Below are 9,092 nucleotides of genomic sequence, written 5' to 3'. Positions count from 1 at the left end.
CTGATGTTCTCTTGACTTTCTAGTCACTGTTTAACTCAGCAGATGCCAAAGTAATGTAAAACAAAAACAAAACAGGTTTTAAAGTCTTTAGCTCCAGAACAACCATTTTTCTGGAATTGTCTCCTCCAAAAAAGAAGGTTCCAAGACTCAGGGTCAGGAAATTTCTCCTCGACTTAGTGTCAGTTTCTCACTTTGCAAATTAAAAAAAAAGGGGGGTTGTGCCAGAATCATGGTGTGTTTTCTGTTTGCTTATTTACATTTTTCTGAAATGAGTTTTGTCTTTATATTGAGAAGGGAACAATCAAGGAAACTTGCTCTGTGGGAAAAAAATTCACGTTTGCTGTCCAGATGTTTTTACTAAGAATTCCAGGCCGGGCGCGGTGGCTCTCGCCTGTAATCCCAGCACTTTGGGAGGCCGAGTCCGGCGGCTCACAAGGTCAGGAGATCTAGACCATCCTGGCTAACATGGTGAAACCCCATCTCTACTAAAAATACAAAAAATTAGCCGGGCGTCGTGGCGGGCGCCTATAGTCCCAGCTACTCGGGAGGCTGAGGCAGGAGAATGGCGTGAACCCGGGAGGCGGAGCTTGCAGTGAGCCGAGATCGCGCCACTGCACTCCAGCCTGGGCGACAGAGCGAGACTCCGTCTCAAAAAATAAAAATAAATAATAATAATAATTCCAGATATTTTACAATAATTTTCAGGCACAAGAGTTTTCACGAGAGTAGGAGTCCGGAGTCCCTGGCACCACCACTTAACCAGCTACGTGCACTTGAACAAAGCACTTCATTTCTGAGGCTGTGTGCTCTGTCCAGTGGCTTTAATACTTGACTTTTCCTCCAGATCGCGTCTCCCCATAACCAAACATGTCCTGAGTTCAAAAGGAAGGGGAAAAGAAACACCAATAAGCACACACAAAATTTATGTTTTATCACTGTACTATCAAATCATACAGCCATGGATATAAAATTTATGTTTTTATGATTATTTATTTTTCCATTTCCAGTTCCCTCCCCGAATCCACTGTGGCAACTATTCTTGTTTTTAATCTGTTTTTGTGAAACGCATATTTTTGTTTTGTGGGTCTTTATTTTAAACTTATATAAATGTTACTTTGCATTACTTTAGCACTGCCTTTAAGATGCATCCATGCTATCATTTGTACATTTAATGTGCTTTTTCTAACAATTTCACAGCACTTTGTGTCATATCTCCAACCACATTTTACCCATCTCTCCCCAAAGATGGACACCCAATTACCCTCAACTCCTTGTTTGAGCTCGATTTTATTTTTCTCTACATCATGTATTAAATAATCCATTTGATTTTCTGCCAATTGACCTGGGGTATGATATTTGTCATTAAAATGTCCATCTATACATGAATTTCCTTTTGATCTCTCCGTTCTACTCCAATGGTCTTTTTTTTTTTTTTTTTTTTTTTTTTTTGTGGAGGTGGGGACAAGGTCTGGCACTGTCACCCAGGCTGGAGTGCAGTGGCACTATCATGGCTCACTGAAACCCCCGACTACCAGGTTTAAGCGATTCTTATGCCTCAGCCTCCCCAGTAGCTGGGATTACAAGCACCCACCACCACACTGGGCTACTTTTGAATTGTTAGTAGAGCTAGGGTTTCTCCATGTTGGCCAGGCTGGTCTCAAATTGCTGGCCTCAAGTGATCCACCTGCCTGGGCCTCCAAAAGTGCTGGGATTACAGGCATGAGCCACTGCACCCGGCCTAATGATATATTTTTTCTTGCACCAAAACCACACTGTTTCTATTACTAGAGATTTGTACTAAGTTACAGTGACTGGTAAAAGAAATCTCCCTCATTATTCTTATTTTTCAATTTTAACTTAGTTATTTCTGAATATTTATTATTTCTTTTCAGTGTAGTTCAGAATAATAATTCAAGTTCCTCAAAAAATCCAACTAGAATTTGTATGGGGATTGCATTGAATTTTTGGATTAATTCGGGAAAAACAAATACCTTTATAATAGTAAATTGTGTCATCCAAGAGCACAGAATATTTTTCTATTATTTTAAAATCAGCTGGGCATGGTGGCTCATGCCTATAGTCCCAGCACTTTAGGAGGCCGAGGTGAGAGGATCGCTTTAGCCCAGGAATTCGAGACCAGCCTGGACAACATAGGAAAATATGTTGCCCTACAAAAAAATAAAATAAAATAAATAAGTAAAATTATTTTCTCTACAAAAAAAATAAAATAAATAAGTAAAATTCTTTTCTATATTATCTGTTCAAGTTGTAAAAGTTTTTCATAGAGATCTTTTATAACCTTGGTTAAAATAATTTCTAGACACTAGTTTTTGTTGTTATTGCGAATTGCTCTTGTTGGTTCATTTTTTCATCAAATTTTCTAGTTGATTAATGCAAATGTAAGGAAATCCTACTGATTTTTATAAACTGATGTTGTCTGTTGGAACTTTGTTGCATCAGCAATACATTTACCAAAGTATTTGATCAGCTATGCTTTTTCTGTACTTAGTACTGCATCCTCCTGAATTTGTTTTTCTCTACAAATGTAAAGAGATTTAGCTTCTTCCTCCGATTCTGTTTCCATTACGGGTCTTTGAGTGCCTGAGGACATATTTGTTATGCCCCTATGTTTGAATGACAATTTCATGTGTCATCTTCATCAGTTCTTTAAATATATTACTTCATTGTCTAATTGAGTCCAGTGTTGCTGATGTGTAGTACAATGCCACCTGACTTTTTTCTTTTTAGGTGATCTTTCTCTCTAGCAGCGTTTAGAATGTCCTGTTTGTCTTTGTGTACTCTAGGTCCATTTTCTCCTGAACTCTCTTGTTTGTTCCTTGATGAGCTTTTTTTTTTTTTTTTTTTTTTTTTTTTTTTTTTTTTTTTTTCTGTTGAGACTGAGTCTTGTTCTGTCACCCAGGCTGGAGTGCAGTGGCGTGATCTCAGCTCACTGCAACCTCCGCCTCCGAGGTTCCAGCGATTCTCTTGCCTCAGCCTCCCAAGTAGCTGGGATTACAGGCACGCCCCACGACACACGGGTGTTTCTTGTATTTTTAGTAGCGCAGGGTTTCTCCATGTTGCCCACGCTTGTCTCGAACTCCTGGCCTCAAGTGATCTGCCCACCTCAGCCTCCCAAAGTGCTGGGATTACAAGCATGAGCCACTGTGCCCAGCCTTTTTTTTTTCTTTTTCTTTTTTTAAATGAGATGTGTCATCTTTCCTTAAAAATGGAAATACGTCTTTATTAGTTCTAATTTTTCCTATGTGGGGATCCCGTTATTCAAATAGTCTTGCTACTTTTATTTCTAGTCTCCCAACATCTTAGCACTTTTCTAAATGTTTTCTCTCTTTGCTCTTTCCTTTTTTGTGAGAGTTCCCCAATCAAATATGCCTCCTCACTAAAAATATGCCTCCTCATTAATTATTTTTAGTTACATCCATCCTGTAATATTTCTCATTTAGCATATTCTTTATTTCAACATTATATTTAAGTATTTATACATGTAATTCTTAGTTATGATTTCTTTTTAGTGCACTATAGTAGGAAATCTTTCTTTGTGTCCTTGAGTACATGTACTAGATTATTCTACATTCTTGGTCTGTTTCAGGTGGTGCCTGTTGTTCAGGGTGCTGTCTTCCTTTTCCAATCCCCAGGTGTCTGATTATGTTGGTGTGTGAGTTCATGTTCCTTGGTGGTCATGGCTGGTGCTTCTGGGGAAGCACAGAAGGCCTGGTCCCAGCCTATGTCCCTCCAGGCATATGTAAGGTGAGGGACGGGGAGGAACCCCACAGTGGAGAGCCCTAGACATGGCAGAAGACCATCCCTGTTTGCTGCCTCTTCACCTGGAGACTCCTGTGACCAAGGTTTCACATTTAAGCTGCTAGAAGGCAAGAGCACCAGGAGGAAATTATTGCTGGGACACCCATCTGGGGGTTGGAAATGGAGGTTTGTTGGAGTGATTGTCAGAGTGTGATTGCTCAGTCCGAAACTCTTGTCATCAAAGAGGCCCCACGGTAGGGCTTTTACAATGTTCCTCCTCTCACTGCCACCCCCCTACCCCGCCCAGCCATCCTCCACCTCAGGCTCCAGCCCTTCCTATCCCCAGCTCTGCCTCTGACCTTTACACATCCAACTCCTCAGAGATTTTGTGGCAAGTCAGGTCTCACTAATGCAGGTCTCAGTAACAACTGTTTCAGTACTGACTGAGTGGTTAAGTTAAATATTAAAAGCTGATTAAGCCAGTGCCCTTATACAAAGGCTAGATTGTATCAAAAGCCCACCAAGAGTTTTGCCCAGGCCTCTCCTGGGCCTTGAAGCATTACAAGATAACCAAGGAATTCTTAACAGGACCCGTTTAGAATTAAACAAGTTTTATTGGGGGTCTGAAAAAAACTTCCCAGGCCTCCACAAACAAGTTTATTGGGAGTCTGAAGGAACTCCCCAAATCTCCATGATTTAGCAGGAGACGAGATAAGGTTAATCACCCCAGCACCTGGACCCATTTAGATTAAGTAAATTTACGAGGCTCCTGAGGAAGGTCTTTAGGACTGAGACCTTAGTTATAGATTAGAAGAAGTTAATCACTGATGTCTTTAGATGAATGCACACTTACACGTTGACATATAGCTTAGAAGGTATATAAGCCCTGGAAAATTTTGTAATTTTGAGCTGGTCTGGCAATATTTTCCCGGCCTTCTCCCTGTACCTGGTTATAGAAATAAACTCTCTTCTTTCCCAGTTCACCAGCATCTCGTTATTGGGCCACAAGAATAAACAACCCAACCTTCGGTTTGGTCCAGGAACAATTTCTGTCAGATTTTTTTATAAATTGTTTTTCAAATTAATACTTCCTTTTTTTTAAGTGCCTTTCAGTTTGATTTTGGAAGAAGCACTCCACAGCCTATGACAGTTTGCCATATTGCCAGGTAGAAAAGTGATGACATGATAAAATGTTATGCAAATATAAAATATGATAAGAACTAGGACAAATACTTGATAATTATCTATCAATAAACTTCTAGTGCTCAAAAACAAAAAAAGAAAAGGAAGTTAGTTATGGGTATTATTGTGACATTATTTGTTTGACATAAAGTGGCTGTGAGAACAGATTTTTTTTTTTTAACTGTTTAAGTGTCTGTGAAGATGAAAGCTTGACAATAGACACTAAGAAGGATTGACACGTAGTGATGCCGGGGTCAGGTCCTTGAGAGCTATGGGCAGCTGCACACTAGGTCTCCCCATGCAAATGCTTAATTCCCACTTGAGACTCCAATTAGCTTGTCAGGTTTGCTCCCTAGAAGCTGAACATACACTAAGGAACTCCTGGAATGGTGAAACTTGAGAAGCATCAAAACACCAGTGCTCATTGGTTTTGTTTGGGAGATCTCATCAGACTCCATGCCCTTTCCCCTACTTTCCTCTGGACCTTTCACCTAATTAGCTAGGAATTTATATATACTAGTCACAGGATTCAGGACTCCTCCCTCACCAAACTCTGCAGGCTTTGAAATCAAAGTTCTAAATGTCTCCCCAGGCAATCAGAAAAGGCAAGACCTGGCAAATAAGAGGTTGTACTAACCAGTAACAAAATCACAAACAACATTTGCTCTTCCTCTTCCACAGCAGACTCCACAAGTAGGTGCAATGAAAGAGCCCTAGATTTGGAGCCAAGGCCGTCAAATGCCCTCCCAGCCATTGTCACTAATCACATATCCACAAGCCAGATCACTTAATCTCTCAAAGCCTCAATGTCCATATCTTCCAAATGGGGCTAATAATTCAGGTTAACTCCATGGAACTTTCATGAGAAAAGACCGTATGCAAAAGCAACTGAAAACTGATAAAGCACCAGATATGCTAGTAATGCATTAGTATCGTGAAATAAACAGGGCTCATTTCCAAAGGTACAAAGACCCTGCAAGTATAAAGACTTCTTCCTAGGTCTAGACTTTCCATAGAAATAGCTTTCCTACCCACTTTCTGATGCCGAGAATTTTGAAAGTTCTTTTTCCCTTAGGTTGAGATGTAAAGGGCAAATCTGCATGGGAAAAGATTGCTTCAATTTATCAGTCATGGGAACCTGGGGTAAATGCATTTTCAGAGCATTTATTGAAAGGAGAATAGTGGGCTACTGAGGTAGAAGAGTTGCAATCTTTATGTGGGCTAAAAGAGGCAAATCCAGGTGCCTGGGAACCTTGTTTATAGTTTTGTTCTCCTACACCGGCTCTTTTGTCAGAATTGCTTAAAAAACAAACATTGTTTTTGCAAGACCTCACCCTAGATGTCTAAACTTCTAAAATCCCTCATAATCAATTTTTCTGACTTTTAATGCTTATCTAGCAGGTAACATGCATTTTAAATTAATCCTTTTATCAACACTTCAGCTGAAAAGCTGAAGTCTAGGAGTTGAAGGACCCTAAAGTCTCAAATCAAAAATAAATACATCTTTTTTCATCTAGGAAGTATCAAAATGTGGGTTTATTTAAGTATTTGGGAGGTAGTATCTTCTTCAGACACAAATAGTGTGTTCCATTTTCTTCAACACTTTGAGCAATTAGTAGACAAACCAGTTATTTGATTGTATTTGAATACAATTACTTGACTAAGTCATATAAATTTCCTTCAGTATGAAAAACTACCACCTCATGGTGTTTTACTATTATTTCCCTCAATTTATACTTTGCATAATGCATTCCTGGTGCTTCCTCAATCTACAAGTTCCCTTATCCCAAAGGAACAACTTAATATTAGATTGGCCATATAAAATTTCCACCTTCCCAAGTCAAAAATGGTTCATGATTGACTCAGGTTATGTGTAGAGCCAGATACCTGGATTCAAAGCCCATTCAGGCCATTTACTAGATCTAAAACCACAAATGGTTATATAATTTTCCTGAACCTCAGTTTCCTCATCTGTAAAATGGGCTTAACAATAGTGCCAACCTCAGACAGTTGTAAAAATTAAATGAGATAATGAACGGAAAGTACTTAGCACAGTACCTAGCACGCAGTAATTACTTAGTACATGTCAGCTTAAAAGAGAGAAGGGAATGAAGTTGATCCATCTATCTGTATTCCCAGTGCTTATCACAGTGCCAATTTGTTATATACACTAATTAAAATTTGCATTGGATTGGATAGTTTTGGTCTTCAATTCTATCAAACTGAGCCATGATGTAGCCATAATCCCGTGTGATGTTTGTGTAAGAGTTTAATGTTTCTATTGTTAAAAGTAAAACCTTGAACAAATTAAATTTAGTTGAATTTATTTGAGCAAAGAAACCATTCATGAATAAGTCAGCACCCTGAATTAGTAAAGATTTAGAGATCTCCAATAGAAATATTGGACTGTCAGTATTTAGAGACAAAAATAGCTTGATTGGTTACAGCTGGCATTTGCCTTACAGGAACATGTTTTGGCAATTTGCAGCCTGCGATTGACTGAAAGCATGGCTGCTATGATTGGTCAAGACTCAGCTACTTGTTACATGAATACACTCTCAGGTTAGGTTGCGGTTTGTTTATATATTAGGTTAAGTACCCTACCTACCTAGGCAGTTTTGGGCCACATTAAATTTACTTTAACACTATCGAGTTTTATCCATTTTCTTAGTGGAATAAGGAACATGTGGAGACTACCTGAGTACTCCAAAATTTAGAGATCAGAAAGAGGGGAGCACCTGTGGGGAGTGGCCAGGGATTTGGAGGAAAACCATGGGATTGTCAGGTCTAAGGGCAAAGTGAAAAAGGTGCTTTGAGAAGAAGGGAGAGCAGCCTTGCCATTTGCTGCTAAGAGGTCTAGTAAGCTGAAGGTTCAAGAGCAAACACTGCATTTGGCAATAAGGAAGCCACTGGTGACCTTGATGAGAGGGAATTCCTTGGAGCACTGGGGGCAAAAGCCTTAGTGGTCAATTAAAGACAGAATGAGAGGTAAGCTTGTAAAACACTGAAAGCAGACATTTTAAATAAATTTCCCTATAGATGACAGCATAGATTTGGTGGCACTCAGTAAGACATATAGAGTCAAGAGGAGGTATTTAAAGATGGGATTGTATAAGAACAATAACACAAGAAGAATGTAGTAGAAAGGGAAAATAGATCATGAGAAAGAGAGGGGAAAACTGCAGGAGCACAGCCTTATGTGAGAAACAAGCAGTACAACCAGTGCACACATGGTGGTGCTGGCCCGAGGCCAGAGCAGGGACTCTTCCTCTGCATAGTGAGAAGGCAGTGAGAAGGCAATGTGTGGGGTATAAAGGCAGGCAATTTGCCAGATTTGCTCATGGAAAACGGAGTTATTCTTTTCTGATTGTTTCTATTTTCTCAGTGAATTCAGAGTCAAAGTGATCAGCTGAGAATGAGTAGAAAGGGGCTATGGCAGAAGAGAAGTTGTGACTAGCCCTCTTGGGATGGGAGAGCAAATGGACTGGGAAAAGGTAGTAGAGTTACCAGGCCATGGTGAGGGTCCACTTGAGATGTATGTTTGTAAATTTAAAGCTAACAAGTTAGTACAAAGTTGTGTTTTTCTTCATCTATGTTTAGCTGCTCAGATGCAGGCGCAGAGTAGATTAAGAGTTGGGTTTAACCAAAATTGAAGGTTTGCTAGGCCAGTCCGACAGAGAGCACAAATTGCAAAGTGTGTGCAAGGGATTGCTTATGGTGAGGCACCATGGTTAATCTGATCTGGATAAGGAGAGAAAAGAGGTGATGAGGTGTAACAAATGCTAAAAACATAGAGGAGTCAGTGGTGGTCTCAGTGGGAGAAAAAGGTGTGAGGGTACTTTAAACAGGAGCAGGGAATATAGAGGTGGTTGGAAATTGGAATGCATGAAACTAAAATGTTGGAGGTGGCATAGACACTGTAATAACAAAGTCCACATTATGACTGTGGAGTGGGAGGCTAAAGTCATGTCCATGAACACGGACATGGCTGTGGGAGCTTCAGTGAGAGGCTAGGGCAGGTGAATTATCTTATGTGGAGATTGACATCTCACATCCATTGAGATGACTGATGGTGGAGAGGAAAGTAGTGATCTATGTGCTTAAATTTTATCAATGAGGGACAGTGGAACATGACAGTTAGTTGACTGCAA

The sequence above is a fragment of the Homo sapiens genome, chromosome 1 (assembly GCF_000001405.40).
Source record: "Homo sapiens chromosome 1, GRCh38.p14 Primary Assembly".
NCBI lineage: Eukaryota > Metazoa > Chordata > Mammalia > Primates > Hominidae > Homo > Homo sapiens.
This window is presented reverse-complemented; position numbering follows the sequence as displayed.